Here is an 18278-nt window from a genome sequence, read left to right on the forward strand (position 1 = left end):
TTTGTCAGTCAATTTTCTTTGTCAATGATGATCTCTTCACCTACTTCATTCTTTTCTGACTTTATCCTCTGAAAGCTGTAAGGGGCTGTTGTCACCCCCACTGGAAAGGATAGAGCTGCAGGCCGGGCGCGGTGGCTCACGCCTGTAATCCTAGCACTTTGGGAGGCCGAGGCTGGCAGATCACGAGGTCAGGAGATCGAGACCATCCTGGCTAACACAGTGAAACCCCGTCTCTACTAAAAATACAAAAAATTAGCCGGGCGTGGTGGCGGGTGCCTGTAGTCCCAGCTACTCGGGAGGCTGAGGCAGGAGAATGGCATGAACCCGGGAGGCGGAGCTGAGCTTGCAGTGAGCCGAGATCGTGCCACTGCACTCCAGCCTGGGCGACAGAGCGCAGAGCGAGATTCCGTCTCAAAAAAAAAAAAAAAAAAAAAAAAAAAAAAAAAGATAGAGCTGGAACAGTCAGGTGACTTCATGCTAACAAATCTGCCCAGGGCTAGAGCTGAGCACTGGGCAGTGCTGGGTGAGGGGTGTGGACCTTGTCATGGAGAAGCTTTGTGGCCAGGAAATAAGAGGGAGTCATGATAGAAACAAGGGAGAAGGTGGCCGGGCATGGTGGGTCACGCTTATAATCCCAGCACTTTGGGAGGCCAAGGTGAGTAGATCATCTGACGTCAGGAGTGGGAGACCAGCCTGGCCAACATGGTGAAACCCTGTCTCTACTAAAAATACAAAAAATTAGCCAGGCGTTGTGGCGGGCATCTGTAGTCCCCGCTACTCGGGAGGCTGAGGCACAAGAGTTGCTTGAACTTGAGAGGCGGAGGTTTCAGTGAGCCAAGATCGTGCCACTGCACTCCAGCCTGGGAGACAGAGTGAGACCCTGTCTCTAATAATAATAATAAATAAATAAATAAATAAATAAATAAATAAATAAAAAGAAAGAAGGGGGAAAGTGGTCCCCATGAGTGATTCCAGCAAGGAGGATGCAGACCCTGTGCTCCAGGCATCATCAGAGTTGGGAGCAGGCTCAGCTATGCTACGCCACCACTCTCAGCATGGCCTCAGAGCTGGGCAGACCACTCTTAGTATAACTTTGTGTTTTAAGTTTCCTGTCCAGATTATAAACTTTCTCTTATCTTTGCTTGAACTATAAGATTAGCATCTGTTCCTGGTTAAAAGAGAAAGTTACAATTGCTTTGAAGGTGCAAATCATTTAGCCTTTAAAGTACAATAAATCATTTTCCTTTAAGAGCAAATACTGCCTTACCCATAACATTAAATGGTTATTTACAAAGCCTATCCTCTTTGCCAAACCAGAATATGGGCTGGCCAACAGTTTGGGTTGAACAACCTGAAGGCCTCAGGGGTATCTGCAGGAGCAGGCGCCTGGTGGCTGCACATAGTAGGCAGCAGTCCTATAAGTCCTATAAGGCAGGGGTCCCCAGTGCCCATGGCTATGGACTAGTACCAGTCCAGTCCATAGCCTGTTAGGAACCAGGCCACACGGCAGGAGGTGAGTGGCGGGCAAGTGAAGCTTCTCTGTATTTACAGCCACTCCCCATTGCTTGCATTACCACCTGAGCTCCTCCTCCTGTCAGATCAGCAGCAACATTAGATTCTCATGGGAGCACAAACCCTATTGTGAACTGCACATGTGGGGGATCTAGTTTGTATGCTCCTTGTGAGAATCTAACAAATGCCTGATGATCTGAGGTGGAACAGTTTCATCCCCAAACCATTCCTACCACCTCTGGTCTGTGGAAAAATTGTCTTCCATGAAACCCATCCCTGGTACCAAAAATGTTGGGGACCGCTGCTATAAGGAGTCGAGTAGGATGTACCTCTAATTAGAACTGCCTTTTAGAATGCTGGTTCCTGTCACAAGGTGGTGGGTGGAGGGTGCTGTGCACACCACTGCCTGTACACCTGTACTGAGGGGTCTCTCCACACAGACGCCCTGAAAGCCATCACAGAGGTGACCACCACACTACAGCACATTCTCATCCGGCTGGAGAACCTGCAGAAGCTAACGGAGCTGCAGCGGGACCTGGTGGGCATAGAGAACCTCATTGCTCCTGGCAGGGTGAGTGACCTTGCTCTGGGAATGTTTTTTGAGCTACTTTGGTTTTTCAATTGAGATATAATTTACATACCACAAAAGTCACCATTTTAAAATGTATAATTTTGGCCAGGCACAGTGGCTCATACCTGTAATCTGAATACTTTGGGAGGCTGAGGTGGGAGGATCGCTTGAGCCCAGGAGTTCAAGACCAGACTGAGCAACACAGGGAAACCCCATTTCTATGAATTAAAAAAAAAAAAAAAAAAAAAGAATTGCTGGGTGTGGTGGCGCACACCTGTGGTCCCAGCTACTCAGGAGACTGAGATGGGAGGATCGCTTGAGCCAAGGAGGTCGAGGCTGGAGTAAGCCCTGATCACAGCACTGCACTCCAGCCTGACAACAGAGCAAGACCCTGTCTCTGTTAAAAATGAGTAAATACAGCCAGGCACAGTGGCTCACGCCTGTAATCCCAGCACTTTGGGAGGCCAAGGCAGACAGATCACCTGAGGTTGGGAGTTCGAGACCAGCCAGACCAACATGGAGAAACCCTGTCTCTACTAAAAATACAAAAAATTAGCAGGGCATGGTGGCACATGCCTGTAATCCCAGCTACGCAGGAGGCTGAGGCAGGAGAATCGCTTGAACCCGGGAGGTGGAGGTTGCAGTGAACCAAGATCACGCCATTGCACTCTAGCCTGGGTAACATGAGCGAAACTCCGTCTCAAAATAAAATAAATAAAATAAAATAAAATAGGTACATATATACATACATACACACATACATACATACAAAAAATATATAATTGAGTGGGTTTTAGTATCTTCACAAGGTTATGTAGCCATCAATGTCGAATTCAGAACATTTTCATCACCCCAAAGTGAAACCCCCACAGCAATTAACAGTCACTTCCCATCACTATTTTGAAGGGAACCCTGTTCTCAGGAGACTCTGTTCTGAGGTAACCCTGTTCTGGGTGGGGATGCTGTTCTGTGGGGACCTCGTTCTGCTCCCTAACCCCTGGCAACCACTGATCTGCTTTCTGTCTCTAAGGAGTTACCTGTCTGGGCATTTCATAGAAATGGTATCACACATTAATGTGGCCTCTTGTGACTCTTCTTTCACTCAGAATAATCTTTTCAAGGTTCATTCATGTTCCTTTTTTTTTTTTTTTTTTTTTATTTGAGACAGAGTCTTGCTCTGTCACCAGGCTGGGGTGCAGTGCCGCGATCTTGGCTCACTGCAACCTCCGCCTCCCAGGTTCAAGTGATTCTCCTGCCTCAGCCTCCCAAGTAGCTGGGACTACAGGCACATACCACTATGCCCAGCTAATTTTTGTATTTTTAGCAGAGACAGGGTTTCACCATGTTGGCCAGGATGGTCTCAAGCTCTTGACCTTGTGATCCACCCACCTTGGCCTCCCAAAGTGCTGGGATTACACGCATGAGCCACCGTGCCCGGCCTCATGTTCCTTTTTGTGGCTGAATCATACTCCATCATGCATGTATCACACGTCTCTCCACTCATCTGATGGACACTGGGTTATTTCCACTTCTTGGCTGTTACGAATAGTGCTGCTGTGGACGTTCATGTACAAGTTTTGTGTGGACTTATGTTTTCAGTTTTGAGTATATACCATATACAGGTTCATATGGTAATTCCATGTTTAACATTTTGAGGAACTGCCAAACTGTTTTCCAAAGTGACTGAACCATTTTTCATTCCCACCAACTCGTATGAGACTTCCAGTTTCTCACATCATGTGTCACTTTTTGGTTCTAGCCATTTTAGTGAGTGTGTAATGCTGTCTTGTGTGGTTACAATTTGTATTTCCCTGATAGCTAATGATATTGAGCATCTTTTCATGTGCTTATTGGCCATTTGTAGGCCTTTTTTGGAGAAATGTCTATTCAAATCCTTTGCCCACCTTTTATTTTATTCAGAAATTGTAAAGAACTCTTAAAACCCAATAGTAAAAAGACAACCTGTTGAGTTTTAAGAGTTCTTTATATATTCTGAATGCTAGACCTTTATCAGACTATGATTTGCAAACATTTTCTCCCATTGTGTGGGTTGTCTTTTCACTGTCTTGATGTGGCCTTCATTTACAACATGAAAGCTTTTAATTTATCTATTTTTTTTCTTTAGTTGCTTGTGTCTTAGATGTTATATCTAAGAAACTATTGTCAGCCAAGTGTAGCGGTGCACACCTATAGACCCAGCTACTCGGGAGGCTAAGGTAGGAGCATTGCTTGAGCCCAGGAGTTCAACGTTGCAGTGAGCTATGATCCCACCACTGCACTTTAGCCTGGACAACAGAGTGAGACCCTGTCTCAGAAAAAAAGGAATTAATGCGAGCACTGCCACCTGCCTGGGGCAGCCTTAGGGCAGGGCTGGCGGGGGCGACCTGTGCTGCTGCAGTGCAAGACTCAGAGTGCCGTGGCCCAGCACCCGGTAGCTTGTCCAAATGGCTCTGGCTCAACATTGGTGGCACCTACTTTCTCACCACCCAGCAGATGCTGTGCCAGGACCTGAAATACTTCCTGTACTCCTTGTATCAGGCTAACCCCGACAAGGATGAAACTGTTGCCTATTTAATGGACAGAGACCCCACCTATTTTGGGCCTGTGTTGAACTACCTGAGACGTGGCAAGCTGGTGATTAACAAAGACCTTGTGGAGGAAGGAGTGTTGGAAAAAGCAGAATTTTACAGTATCACTTCATTAATAAAACTTGTAAAGGACAAAATTAGAGAACAAGAGAGCAAAACATCACAGGTGCCCATGAAGCATGTGTACCACGTGCTTCAGTGTCAGGAGGAGGAACTCACACAGGTGGTGTCCACCATGTCCGACAGCTGGAAGTTTGAACAACTGGTCAGCAATGGCTCTTCTTACAACTATGGGAATGAAGATCAGGCCAAGTTCCTCTATGTGGTGTCCAAGAAACTTCACAACACCCCATACAGTATGGCCAGTGAACCCAGAAAGAAGGCCAAGATTTTGCAAGAACAAGGTTCAAGGATGTGAGGGACACAGTATTGACAGCTGAAAAAATGATTTACTCTTTCCCAAGATGCAATGAACTACCATGTCCAGGAAGCTTGGCTGCGAGAAGGAACCTGCTTTTGATCATTTTTCTAGAGATCTGGGTGTGAATCCTTTTGTGCTTCTGAGGTGGGTGGTGAGAGACAGGTCCAGCTGTCCAAGGCCAGGTGTCCCCAAGGGGAGGAGCATTCTGGCCAGGTGGGTACTATCTCTTGAGGGGGGCCAGAGACTGAGGCAGATGCTCCCAGTCAGCCCACTCAATCCCCGAAGATCATGTAAAGGACAGAGTTCTTGGTACTACACATAGTCTGTAAAAGCAGCCTGCGCTTCACTGGCAGGAAGCGGCCACGGCCTCATCGGCATCCAGCACGCCGTGGCCTCGGGTCTGGCTGCCAGGCCTTAGGCTCAGTCAGGAGTCTGCTCTGCCTCCCAGGTGGGATCGCTGGTTGCTATCAGCCTCACAGAGCTCCTGACAAAGGTGGCTTCTGCATCATCACTACTTCTGAGTGCCGTTTCAAGGCCAGGCCTCTTTCCGACACAGGCTATGATCCTGCCTGACTCAGCCTGGGACAGTCAAGGCTTTTCAATTTGTATTTTCCAGGCGAGAGAACTTTGTACCCCTTTTCAGTGTGGATAGACTCCCCAGTGCTTATACTCTGGAAGTGCCCACAAGGATTGCTGCATTCAGACTGATCTGTTCAACCCGTTAGCGTGAGGTAGCAGTGTTGCCTTGTCCCCCACTCTGTGGGCTCACGGGGGAGCTGGTGCCTGTCAGTGCCATGTCGCTCCTGGCATAGAGGTTGGGCTGGAAGCCTGTCTGCTGGCTTCTGGAGCTGAAGGTCTGGATCACAGTGAAAATTCGAGATGTTTATGGAGCATCACAAATGCCTTTCTCTCACCACTCTCTCATTTTCTTTGTATAACTGTGCAGCCTTTCTGGGATGTTTGGGACTTCAGTCGACCTTCCTGGGCTCCACCCAACATGACATGGGAGCTGATAGGATTCTTTTAGAAACCACTGCCCACATGCTTTGAAAACAGACCTTTCTCAGCTGGTTGTAGGGACCTGTCAGAGTCTGGGGACCTGGGGTGCAGGGCATGCTCCAAGCTCTTTGTTTCTGGAACTCCAGCTTCCCAAGGGGCACTGTGCAGACTGACCACCAGCTGCCCATGTGCAGGTCAGAGGCTCTGACACTGTCTGGTTTCCAGTGCTTCTGGAGACTTCTTGCCTAGGCCTCATCTTCTTCTTTGCCAATAACCTGATTAACCAAGTTCTCCAGCATTAGGACTTACCACCTCCTCTTTGTAAGGTCTCTTGTATGCTGTTAAATGTTTGGCTTAGACAATTTATAAAAGCCTTTCTAGAGGGCAGACTTAGCCATGGGATGACCTGTCCTCCCCAGCAGAGCTCTGGAGGAAGGCAGCCACTGTGGGCCCTCAGGGTGTACTCTCTGGGGAGCTGCTGGCCCCTTAGCATTGTTTGATTTTTGACCTTGATACAATAGATAGGCTTGTGTTGTGTTTTTTTTTTTAAATTTAAAGATATTAAGACAATTCACTAAAATTTATTCTAAGGGGATATTTATACTTTTATACTTTTTTAGGTATGGTATTTTATCAGCTTATAGTTGAATGCCTAAGTTTCCCCTGAAAATAGCAAACAAAACTGTGTATTTATGAAAAAAAAGAAAGGAAGAAAGAAAGAAAGCCTAACCCAGGGTATGAAGATTTACCCTTCTGTTTCTTTTCTTCTAATAGTTTTATGTTTTACCTCTTCCATTTAAATCTTTGATCCATTTTGAGTTAGTTTTTGTGTATAGTGGAAGGTAGGAGTCCAACTTCATTCTTTTGCATGTGGAGGTCCAGTTTTCCCGGCAGCATTGATTGAACTGTCTGCCATGTAACCCTTGTAGAAGTTCAATGGGGGCTGGGCATAGTGGCTCAAGCCTATAGTCCCAGCACTTTGGGAGGCCACGGCAGAAGGATCACTTGAGGCCAGGAGATTGAGACTAGCCTGGGCAACATACTGATACCTTGTCTCTACCAAAAAAAAAAAAAAAAAAAAAAAAATTCCTGGCATGGTGGCACACACCTGTGGTCCCAGCTACCCAGGAGGCTGAGGCAAGTGGATCACTTGAGCCCAGGAGGTCAAGGCTAGAGTGAACCGTGATCGTACCACTGCACTCCAGCCTAGGCAACAGAGTGAAAACAAAAACAAAAAAATAAATGGACTGTAAACATATGGATTTATTTCTGGACTCTTGATTCTATCCCATGGTCTATATGTCCATTGGGCCAGTTACTTTCTGTCACTAGTACTTTTTGCTTTGAACTCAATACTCTCAACATAAAAAATTGTTTTAAAAATTACATGGAGATGTTTCCTGTCTCTGCACACACATGTTCATTGAAGCATGTGTATGAATCATGTTCTGTGTTAGCCTTGTTAGAAGAAGGTATTGAAAATGTGGAACTGCAAGCTTGGAGAAATGAATTAGCCTGTAATATACAGGAAACCTTCCCCACTTTGGGAGTCTGGGCTTTGATCAGGTGCTAGGACCACCACTCTTTCATTTCTCTCCTTGGCTGCATAGCTTTGAGCTGTTGCTGCTGGCTGGGAACTCCTGGAAGTAGGGCTCATGTTACATAGTGTTATTTCTCCTAGTAACCTCTGTGCAGGGTCTTATAGATGGTGGCCCAGGGAACTGTCACTGGGTCTTATAGATGGTGGCCCAGGGAACTGTCAATGAAAAGACAGTTGAGAGTAGCTACATAGGCAAAGGTGTAGGCTCTTGAGCCATGCATCAAACTCAGGCTCTCCACACTTCCCATGTGGCCTGGGCAGGCTGCGCCCCCTCTCTGAGGCAGGAGGTCTTGAGGATGAACAGGGAATCTATGTCAGCTGCTCAGCCCTGGGCCTTGCATGAAGTAGATGCTGTGCAAATTCAAATAATAATTTGTTATTATTAGTCAAAATCTCTAAAGTCATGTCTGGATAGCCCAGAATTTCTTGTCTTCCTGAGTTAAATATGTGTGTCAGTCAACAGACAGAAACCATGCCAGTTATTTGAGCAGAGGATGTAATAGCAAGGATTGTTAACCAGGTATAAAGTTGATGAGGTGCCAAAGGGTAAAAAGAACTGTGAAGTGTCAGGGAGGTGGCAGAACTGTGAGCCACAGTTACTACCCTAGGGCTGGGGAACAAATTTGACAGCTTGGTCAAAGGCCCACGGTGCTGAGCCTCACAGCTGGCAGCGGGGCCAGTGCATGGTGGAGAAGGCGCCCCGTGGGTCTGGGACGCACATCCTGTGAGGGAGCTCTGGAGAGGGGGCTGCTGCTTAGCCAGTGCTGGGGTCTCTGAGGGTGATGCTGCTACCTGTGGCTGGAAGGAACGGCCACTCCCAGGGCCAAGCAATTGCCAGCAGCTCACAGGGACCTCGGCGTGCGGTCTCCAGGGCTCCCTGTCACGCCCCTGTGGCCTCTCAGAGTAGGGCTAGGAGGCAGATGTGGAGTGAGAGCCACAAGCTTAGTTACCGGCCCCATCCAGTTAACGCAAATGCATCCATATGACCACCTTCTTCATTGTGTGGGGTGGACGTTTCTGTTTGGGCTGGTTTTTCATCCTGCGTTTCTGTGAGGATTATCTGTGTAGTGTGCTCCTCCTTCTGCCTTCACGCAGTATGTTGGGACTGCTCATACTAGGAGGCCCCTAGCACATTCTCCGGACACCTGCTGCTCCTCCTGTTTGTCTGAAAGGAACAGATGGTGGAAGGGCTCCAGAGCAGTCCAGGTTAGGAATCTGAGGGGCTCCCAGGACTCTCGCTTACCCTATCTGCGCAGGTGTCTGATACTGGCAGGATTCTTTTTTCTTATCTAACGCCCTGTGGTGGACGAGGTGGTGCTAATTTGAATACTTAGGAGAACCCTCCTTTCCTCCTCCCATTCTCGAACCTGCTCTTGGTGCTAATTTGAATACTCGGGAGAACCCTCCTTTCCTCCTCCCATTCTCGAACCTGCTCCTGGTGCTAATTTGAATACTTAGGAGAACCCTCCTTTCCTCCTCCCATTCTCGAACCTGCTCCTGTCCAATGTTTTCAAAGCTGATCTCAGATGACATCTTTGTGGCTGAACCTTCCAGAAGCTTCTCCTCAGCAAGAACAATACTCCGGGCTCTACCTCTTGGTTGTATCAGGGCTCCAGGGCTCCTAGCCCAGAGCAGGTGCTCAGTAGATGGTTTGAGGACTGAATTTGTTGGCACCAAGACAGGACCTGGTGACCAAGGGCACTGCTGAGGGTAGAGGAGCCCCATTGGGAGGCTCCACTAGAGGACCCTCATTGGGAGGAGCCAGAGGAGCACAAGCGGCCACAAGGCTATTCCTGACCCTCAGCCCGGCTAGTGCATCCGCCAGCTGCCCTCAGCCCGCTGAAAGGGGACTCTGTCTCTGTCTTTCAGGAGTTCATCCGTGAGGGCTGCCTTCACAAGCTCACCAAGAAGGGCCTGCAGCAGAGGATGTTTTTTCTGGTAGGTTCTCTCCCCACTCAAGCTGTGCTTCCCCCCGAGGGGGATGGGCAGCAGTTCTGTTAGGGACATCGCCTGCAGCGGCAGCCCATTGGCCTCTGGGTAGTTTAGCACTTGGAGGCTTTGGTCCAGGTGGGTAGCGTTGGAGTCAGACAGGGCCAGGGGAGGGTCACAGAGTGGGAAGAAGCAGAAAACAGCTTCCCCACCCACCCCAGGGCCAGCCTCCTTCTTCATTCCAGGTTCTGAGCACCTGACTATGGGACAAACAGAAGCCAAAAGATTGTAAAGTCCACATACATGTGGCTGCAAGAAGGTGCTACTGATGGCCCAATGGCCAGTCGGGACAGTTTCACTGTTGGCTCAGAAGCCCCTCCCAGCATGTCCTTGTTCCTACCAGTTAGTGGGTTCCAGCCTGAAACATGTGGATGAGGAGGTAACTGAGTCAGCACCAGCCAGAATTCCTTACTGCCTCCAGCTTCTCAGCCAAGCTAGCTGGGAGCTGACCCAGCAGATGCACTGGTTCCTGTGGCCCTTTCCTGCCTCTGGTCAAAAACGACCAAATGAATGAATAAAAGTCCCCTTTCTGCCAAAAATCTCCAGCAAGCTGCACAGATCTGATGTCCACATGATGAGCAGCCAGAGTCCAAGTTGGTCTGACTATTAAGACACTTGTTTGTGAAGTTCATGGATGTAAAGCTTGCTGCTTCTCAGTTCTCAGATATGTTGCTGTACACAAGCAAAGGAGTTGCAGGGACCAGCCACTTCCGGATCCGGGGCCTCCTTCCCCTCCAAGGCATGCTGGTGAGTGGTCTTGCACCCTGCCTGGGATTTCCACGTGGTGCTGGGCTGGGCCCCACCTACCTCTCTCCTGCAGAGGCGAATCCTTACCCAGCAACACTGAGAGCAGCACCTGCTGAGTATTTGGCCGCACTGGGAGCAGCACCTGCTGGGCATTTCTTGTTGGTTGTTTCTGACCCTCATGGTCATTGTTGTTATTGATGCTCAAACTGCCCTGTCTCTAGTCCATGGTTCCCTTCTAGGGAAACCTGGACTCAGCCTGTGGTCTCTGTCAGCACCTGGCAGGACAAGGCCTGCTCCCCGCAAGCTTAGAGTCAGCCTCTGCAGCAGCATCTTCCTCAGGCTGTGCCACCTGTGTGACATCCATGCCAGCCCTCTGTCCCATGTAGGCACATGCCTGGGATGGGAAGAGAAATTCCTCATTTTAGCATGATCCAGTTCATCAACTTTGTCCTTTGTGGTTAGTGCTTTTTGTGTTCAATAGAAATACTGTTCTCAGGTCATGGGGAGACTTTCATGCAGCTCTAGAGGCTATGTCCACTTGCCCTGAGCGTGTCCCTGCACTAGGCCTAGAACGGTACAGACAGGTAGCCAAGTCCAGGACTTGCCATAAGGATGTGCCATTCGTCCAGGACACCACGTCACAGTGACTGTCTCTCCCCATGGGCCTGCCAGGGCGCCAAGGACAGGGGCTCTAATCCCCAGCTCTGCCCTATCCCTCTTGGCTTATTTGCCTTGACTACAGTGCTACAGTGGTCCTCACTCCCTCCTTGTGGTCCTCCCTGTCAGTGATCTTCTCTCCTTGAGATCCTCCCTTCTTGTAATCTTCCCTCCCTGGGGTCCTCCCTCCCTCCCCAAGGTCCTTCCTCACTCCCTGTGGTCTTCCCTCTCTGGTGTCTTTCCTCCCTGTAGTCCTCCCTCCCTGGGATCCTCCTTTCCTAGGATCTTCCCTCCCTAGAGTCCTCCCTCCCTCCCTGGGATCTTCCCTTCCTGGGATCTTCCCTCATTCCCTGGGATCTTCCCTTCCTAGGATCTTCCCTCCCTCTCTGGCATCTTCCCTCCCTGTGGTCCTCCCTCCCTGGGATCCTCCTTTCCTAGGATCTTCCCTTCCTAGAGTCCTCCCTCCCTCCCTGGGATCTTCCCTCCATCGGCTTCTCCCTCCCTCCCTGAGGTCCTCCCTCACTCCCTGTGATCTCCCCTTCCTGGGATCTTCCCTCCCTGGGGTCCTCCTTCCCTAGGATCTTCCCTTCCTGGAGTCCTCCCTTGCTCCCTGTAGTCCTCTCTCCCTGGGATATTCCCTCCCTGGAGTCCTCCCTCCCTGAGGTCCTCCCTCACTCCCTGTGATCTTCCCTTCCTGGGATCTCCCTCCCTGGGGTCCTCCTTCCCTAGGATCTTCCCTTCCTGGGGTCCTCCTTTGCTCCCTGTGGTCCTCCCTCCCTGGGATTTTCCCTCCCCATGGTCTTCCTCCCCCAGGGCCCTCCCCCAGTAGGGTCCTCCTTCCCTGAGATCCTCTCTCCCTGGGGTCCTCCCTCCCTGGAGTCCTTCCTCCCCCAGTGGGGTCCTCCCTCCCTGGGGTCCTCTTTCCCTGTTCTTTCTTCAAGGGTCTTATCCCTCTGCACTGCCTCCTCCTGACAATGAGCGCCAAAACCCTCAGGCAGGTGTTTGTAAAATTTAATTCCACTTCTCAGGCCCTCAGCAAGAAGAGGTCAGTTTGAATTAGCTCATCTGCCACCACCGGAAGCAGACCCCATTTGTTTTAAAGTATACTTTTAAAAATTACACCTTTATTATAGAAAAAAATAATTGAAAGTATAAGACAGAAATCACTCATCACTGGCCAGTTGCTGTGGCTCACGCCTGTAATGCCAGCACTTTAGGAGGTCAAGATGGTAGGATCGCTTGAAGCTGAGAGTTTGAGACCTGCCTGGGGAACATGGCGAAGCCAAATCTCCAAAAATCTTTTTTTTTTTTTTTTTTTTTTAATTAGCTGAGCAAAAGTGGTGTGTGCCTGTAGTCCCAGCTACTTGGGAGGCTGAGATGGGAGAATCACTTAAGCCCAGGAGGTCAAGGCTGTAGTGAGCCGTGATCGTACCACTGCACTCCAGCCCCAGTGACAGAGTGAGACCTCGTCTCAAAAAAAAAAAAAAAAAAAAAAAAAACACAGAGAAAAGAAACAAGAAAAAGAACTCTATCATCGTACCCACTCAGCAGTGATGGCTGCAGGCATCTGCTGCATGGTTGCCATCACCCACGGGCTGTTTTGTCAGGACACTGGTTTTCCTTTCCTTTCATGGCAGCCCCAGTTCACTTAACTAGTCACCTGTCACTGGACGCTTGGCTGTGGCTGGTTGTTGAGGACTGTAACATTGTTGGATCTCTGTCTTTCTGCACATCCTTAATTATGTCCTTCAGATCAATTCCAAAATGTAGATTTGTCTGAGCAAAGGTGTTTACGGCCTTGGGCACTCCTGCTAAATTGCTGTTGGAGCACCTGCGCCAGCTGACCTTCCCACCTGCAGGAGCTAGGTCTAAACATGCATCTTTCCCTCCACCATGGAAAGTGCTAGGCACCTGTCTCTCTTACTCTTCCCAAGTGGGTAAGGTAAGCAGCCCCATCGAGCAGCCCCATCATTTCACTTTGCATCCCTGCGGACTGTCGGTGAGGCCAGCCTGGCCCCTGTGTCCTGGCATTCCATGCTTTTCCTCTCAGGAATCACTCAGCGTGCTGGTCACTCTGGTCTCCATTGGTCTGTGAGTTTTTTGTACACATTAGTGAAATGTTTATATGATAATGCTCACCAACACTATTAAGTCACAAATTATTTTCTCAGTAACTGCTTTTTACTTTGCCTACAATTTAGTTTTACCTTGTAGAATTTAAACTCCATCTTGATGGGTTCTGTTTCTCTTACTCTAGAATGGCATCTGGCACATATAGGGAACCCAGCAAATGCTTGTTGAAGGTGTGAATTGAAACAGACACTCCTCAACTTATGATGGGGCTATGCCCTGATAAACCCATTGTAAGAGGAAAATAGTATAGTCAAAAATGCATTTAACAGGGCACGGTGGCTCACGTCTGTAATCCCAGCACTTTGGGAGGCTGAGGTGGGTGAATCACCTAAGGTCAGGAGTTTAAGACCAGCCTGGCCAACAGGGCGAAACCCTGTCTCTACTAAAAATACAAAAATTAGCCAGGCGTGGTGGTGGGCACCTGTAGTCCCAACTACTCGGGAGGCTAAGCACAAGAATCACTTGAACCTGGGAGGCGGAGGTTGCACTGAGCCGAGATCACACCACTGCACTCCAGCCTGGGTGACAGAACAAGACTCCCTCTCAAAAAAAAAAAAAAGAAAGAAAAGAAAATGCATTTAATACACTTAACCTCTCTGATGTCATAGCTTAGCCTAGCCTACTCTTTTTTTTTTTTTTTTTTTTTGAGATGGAATCGCTCTGTCGCCCAGGCTGGAGTGCAGTGGTGCCATCTTGGCTCTCTGCAAGCTCCACCTCCCGGGTTCACGCCATTCTCCTACCTCAGCTTCCTGAGTAGCTGGGACTACAGGCGCCCGCCACCACGCCTGGCTAATTTTTTGTATTTTTTAGTAGAGACGGGGTTTCACCGTGTTAGGCAGGATGGTCTCGATCTCCTGACCTCGTGATCCACCCGCCTCGGCCTCCCAAAGTGCTGGGATTACAGGCGTGAGCCAGCCTAGCCTACTCTAAATGTGCTCAGAACATACATTAGCTTACAGTTGGGCAAAATCATCTAATATGAAGCCTATTTTATAACAAAGTGTTGAATATCTCACATAATTTGTTGAATACCAAACTGGAAGTGAAAAACAGAATGGTCGTATGGGCACTTGAAGTTCCGTTTCTACTGAATGCTTATCACTTTCACACCATCATAAAGTTGAAAAATCAGGGCCTATCAGGGTCAGCTCTGGCTGTCTTTTCCTTGAGGGTTTCTATCCTTAGTATGGGCTCAGGAAGTTCTTCCCCATGCCAATATTATATTGGCACCTTTTAATGGTTTCAGTTTTCTCATTTAATTAATCTCCCTAGAATTTGTTTTTTTACTTTTTTGGTTTTTTTTTTTTTTTTTTTAGATGGAGTCTTGCTCTGTGTCCCAGGCTGGAGTGCCCAGGCACGATCTCGGCTCACTGCAAACTCCGCCTCCTGGGTTCACACCATTCTCCTGCCTCAGCCTCCCAAGTAGCTGGGACTACAGGTGGCTAATTTTTTGTATTTTTAGTAGAGACGGGGTTTCACCGTGTTAGCCAGGATGGTCTCGATCTCCTGACCTTGTGATCCGCCCGCCTCGGCCTCCCAAAGTGCTGGGATTACAGGTGTGAGCCACCGTGCCTGGCCTAGAATTTGTTTTGATAGATATTAGATTGAGATGTAACATTTCTCCCCATTATTTGTTGAATCCTTCATTTTCTCACTGATCTCAGACTTTATCAAATGGAAGCCTGTGTCTTTGCACTCGAGTTCTTTCTGGGCATTCTGCTCCATTCCTGTCTGTCCAGCATCAGTCCACTCTCTCTCATTAGTGGTGTCATATGAGATAGTCACTGTTTGGTGAACACATTCCATCCCTTATTCTGCCTCCTTTTAAAAAAGATTCTTTGCTATTCTCAAGCATTTAATTCTTCCAAGTAATCTTCTAAGTCATTGGACAAATTCCTTACAAAAACACCATGGAGATTTCAGTTGAAATTGCATTAAATTTTTGTGTTAACTTACGGGAAGACTAACATCTGGACAATGTTTTGCCTGCCCTTGCTTATGTTGATTCAGATTTTTGATGTCCAGTGAGAGGCTTGGTTGGTGTATCAGGCTCTGCACAGGGAAGCTGTCCATTCTGTGGAGTTGTTGGTAACTGGCTGGTCCTGGGGACAGAGAACTGGCCCTCGTTCCTGACTGTTAAGGGAAGGATGATGGCTCTTGGCTTGAAAAGATCATCTTTATCATGTTAACACAGTTTCCTTCTGTTTCTAAGAGGTATTATCAGAAATAACACCTTGGATTTTGGCAAAGGCATTTTCAGCATGTAGAGAATGGATTTCCCTTTTTCTCTTTGACTTCTGATAGGATGAATGTTATCAATCAGCTTTCTAATGCCGAACGATCCTTGCATTCCCCAAACAACCTTACTTGATCGTGGGACAATTCCTTGTTACATGCTTTTAGATTAGATTTGGTAATATTTTATTTTGCAATTATTTCATCTAACTACTTAAAATTAAAATTAATCCACAGTGGGTTTTCTTTGAATCTAGCTCTGTTAGGTTTTGGTCTTTGGTTCATAAATGAATTGTCCAACTCCCTTTTGGATAATCAAAATGCTCAACATTTTTTCCTTTGCTTGATTTTCAGCTAATAGTGCTGGACCCCCCGGTGAGTATTTGGGTGCCCTCTGGCCCATGGCTCACCCCCTGGGGTGCAGCTGCCATGGCGCAGGGATACCAGTGTCCTCCTTGGCCTCTTGTAGAGTCTGTGTGCACTTGGACAGCACTGGGCTTCCAAGCCCCACCTAGCATTGCCAGCAGTCACCTTGTGTCCTGCTCAGGCTTAGGCTGTCAGTTCCTTCTTGGCCACAAGACTTGGACCGTTTCTCCCACCCACAGGTGGAAGAAAGTGATAACGAGTGGTCTGTTCCACACTGTTTCACCATCTACGCGGCTCAGAAAACAATCGTGGTGGCAGCCAGGTAAGGGTCTTCCATGTCTCCATCCTGAGCAGCCCTGGATGGAGGGGTGGGGACTTCCTCGCCATGAGCCTCTGAGTCCTCTGAGCTGTGAGGAGCCATGTAGCCTCATGGGGTTGTGCCCCCTTTGACTCTGAGCTCTGCTTCCAAGTCACACAACCAAAGGAGCAGCCTCGCCCTTGTCAGGGGCAGGGCTGCTTGCCAACCTGACAACACCCCACAAGTGGCAGGCCCCAGTGCTGTGGAGCCGCTCCCTCTGCCCTCCGGTTCACAGTGCCTCCAAAGACAGGACGGGTGAGTGGGCAGGCTCCTGTGGTCTCCCAGGGCACAGGCGCTTCCCCAACCCTCACGTCAAGAAGTGCCAGCAGCTAGTGGTCAAAGCCCCAACAGGGCAGCTTACACCCAGCCCAGCCAAACACTGCCTCCCAGTCCCAGTGTGGTATAGACTCACATGAGGCAGCCCAGGCTATGGCACAGAATCAAGTGGAAACAGCTCCCTCCTCCCCAGATAAGATCAACAGAAGGATGACACTGAGCTCATTTGGCGGCCAGGATGCAGGGGCCCCTGCATGGTCACCAGCACCACACTGTGCTCTGTGAGGAGTCTCAGCTCTGACTCTGCAGCGCCCTGGCCAGCATCAGAGCACAGGGCACTCAGTTCCCACCAGGAAATGCTCACTTAATCATGAACCAGGGCCAATCTTGCATTTCAGCATCACAGATGTAGAGAACATCATTTCAGGAACAAATACCCCTGCAGACCCCCTGTTCTAGGACCGGGGCCCTGCCCTGGCACCCACAACCCTGTCACAGCACCCTGGAGGTCAGGCTGATGCAGGTCCCTCCCAGCTCTCCTCCCTGCTATTCTCGCTGGAGGGGACACGTTTCCCAGTCCTCTCACCAGGCAGGACAAAGCAGAATGTGAGAGAACAGGTGCCCTGACGGCTCGCCCTCCCTTGAGGGCTGGGGCCCTACACAAGGAAGAGCAGAGCCACTGAGCCTTGCCCTTCTCCCTGCAGCACTCGGCTGGAGAAAGAGAAGTGGATGCTGGACCTGAACTCCGCGATCCAAGCAGCCAAGAGTGGCGGTGACACGGCCCCTGCACTGCCAGGCCGCACTGTGTGCACTCGTCCCCCCAGTGAGTGCTGGCCACAACCCCCCAGGAGACCTCCACTACACCTAAGGAGGCTTTTTTTGGAAACTGTTTTCCTTGGTCCCCATTGGCCCGCTAAGTTCCCACACAATCCCCTTCCACAAGGAATGTTCCAGGCTACGCCTCATGCCTGGGCGGGAAGAGGTGTCAATCAGCTGCTCTGGCAGAAGCACCTGTAGTTTTGCTCTCAGCCAGCAGCTGGCCTAGCACCAAGGGCTCCCCATTTCCCCAGGACCCCCGAGAGGAACCCAAGGGGTGGAAGTATTTGGCAAGCAGAGGCCACAGGGGGTTCCCCCTGAGACGCTGCTGACTTCTCCCCAGGATCCCCCAACGAGGTATCTCTGGAGCAGGAGTCAGAAGATGATGCTCGGGGTGTCCGCAGCTCCCTGGAGGGGCATGGCCAGCACCGGGCCAACACCACAATGCACGTGTGCTGGTACCGGAACACCAGCGTGTCCAGGGCAGACCACAGTGCAGCTGTCGAGGTACGACCGCATGAGCACCACCTCAGTGCATCTGGAATGTTCCCAGCTGTCTCTGCACTTGGCTGCTGAGGAGGGGACCTCAGGAGGGTACCAGCAGGCAGGCTTGGCCCCAGAGGACTGCCTCTTACTCTCCCCTTGGTAGAAGTTGGTATGGAAAGTGCCCCTCATCCAGTCAAGCCCTCTTTGAAAAGGGTGTTTCAGGTCTGGTGTCTGATGAAGTCCAGCAGGCGGGGCGTGTCCTCAGGGCCTGGAGCTGGTGTGTAGTGGAGCTGAGAAAAGCCTTCCCAGACACATCCCCTGCAGCCCCCCGTCCCAGTGCCTCCAAAACCCTTCACCTCGGGCTTGGAGCTCGAGGCTCTGCCCAGGCACCCTGCCATAGAAGGTTGTCAGCTCTATCTCACTGCATGGGCCCGGTCTGCCATTGTGGGTCACCAGGTTCCTCAGCCTGGTGCCCCCACACCCTTCCCCAAGCCTGCTGTCTTACTCCACCCAGAGCTCTTGTC

At 49.7% G+C, this 18278-nt stretch overlaps 1 protein-coding gene, 1 non-coding gene and 1 pseudogene across 11 annotated transcripts in view, besides 4 other annotated features; all 3 read left to right on the forward strand.

The window, feature by feature from the left end:
• Positions 1-18278, forward strand: part of FARP2 (FERM, ARH/RhoGEF and pleckstrin domain protein 2) — a 138557-nt gene that overhangs the window by 117620 nt on the left and 2659 nt on the right. For 7 of the 10 annotated variants that reach the window (XM_047446511.1, XM_011512233.1, XM_024453259.2 and 4 more), the window contains 7 exons: positions 1953-2083; positions 9561-9629; positions 10338-10427; positions 15807-15827; positions 16058-16140; positions 17157-17275; positions 17612-17775. In XM_047446511.1, coding sequence (XP_047302467.1) covers positions 1953-2083; positions 9561-9629; positions 10338-10427; positions 15807-15827; positions 16058-16140; positions 17157-17275; positions 17612-17775 — 677 coding nt within the window. Of the gene's footprint in view, positions 1-1952; positions 2084-9560; positions 9630-9865; positions 10315-10337; positions 10428-15806; positions 15828-16057; positions 16141-17156; positions 17276-17611; positions 17776-18278 lie in introns of those variants that run through there. The other 3 variants (NM_014808.4, XM_047446510.1, XM_005247050.4) reach the window with 2 other exon arrangements.
• Positions 4001-4078, forward strand: MIR3133 (microRNA 3133). The gene has a single exon (NR_036083.1). It is a non-coding gene; the product is annotated as a microRNA 3133 (primary transcript).
• KCTD5P1 (KCTD5 pseudogene 1) lies at positions 4406-5285 on the forward strand (annotated as a pseudogene).
• Positions 9139-9639: an enhancer, noted in NCBI's record as "H3K4me1 hESC enhancer chr2:242422458-242422958 (GRCh37/hg19 assembly coordinates)". NCBI's record gives its function as "activates a minimal SCP1, AML or CMV promoter by ChIP-STARR-seq in naive H9 embryonic stem cells {active_cell/tissue: H9 hESC(naive)}" and the evidence as "EXISTENCE:reporter gene assay evidence [ECO:0000049][PMID:30033119]".
• Positions 9640-10140: an enhancer, noted in NCBI's record as "H3K4me1 hESC enhancer chr2:242422959-242423459 (GRCh37/hg19 assembly coordinates)". NCBI's record gives its function as "activates a minimal SCP1, AML or CMV promoter by ChIP-STARR-seq in naive H9 embryonic stem cells {active_cell/tissue: H9 hESC(naive)}" and the evidence as "EXISTENCE:reporter gene assay evidence [ECO:0000049][PMID:30033119]".
• Positions 16308-16821: an enhancer, noted in NCBI's record as "H3K4me1 hESC enhancer chr2:242429627-242430140 (GRCh37/hg19 assembly coordinates)". NCBI's record gives its function as "activates a minimal SCP1, AML or CMV promoter by ChIP-STARR-seq in primed H9 embryonic stem cells {active_cell/tissue: H9 hESC(primed)}" and the evidence as "EXISTENCE:reporter gene assay evidence [ECO:0000049][PMID:30033119]".
• Positions 16822-17337: an enhancer, noted in NCBI's record as "H3K4me1 hESC enhancer chr2:242430141-242430656 (GRCh37/hg19 assembly coordinates)". NCBI's record gives its function as "activates a minimal SCP1, AML or CMV promoter by ChIP-STARR-seq in primed H9 embryonic stem cells {active_cell/tissue: H9 hESC(primed)}" and the evidence as "EXISTENCE:reporter gene assay evidence [ECO:0000049][PMID:30033119]".

This window comes from Homo sapiens, chromosome 2 (genome assembly GCF_000001405.40).
Source record: "Homo sapiens chromosome 2, GRCh38.p14 Primary Assembly".
NCBI lineage: Eukaryota > Metazoa > Chordata > Mammalia > Primates > Hominidae > Homo > Homo sapiens.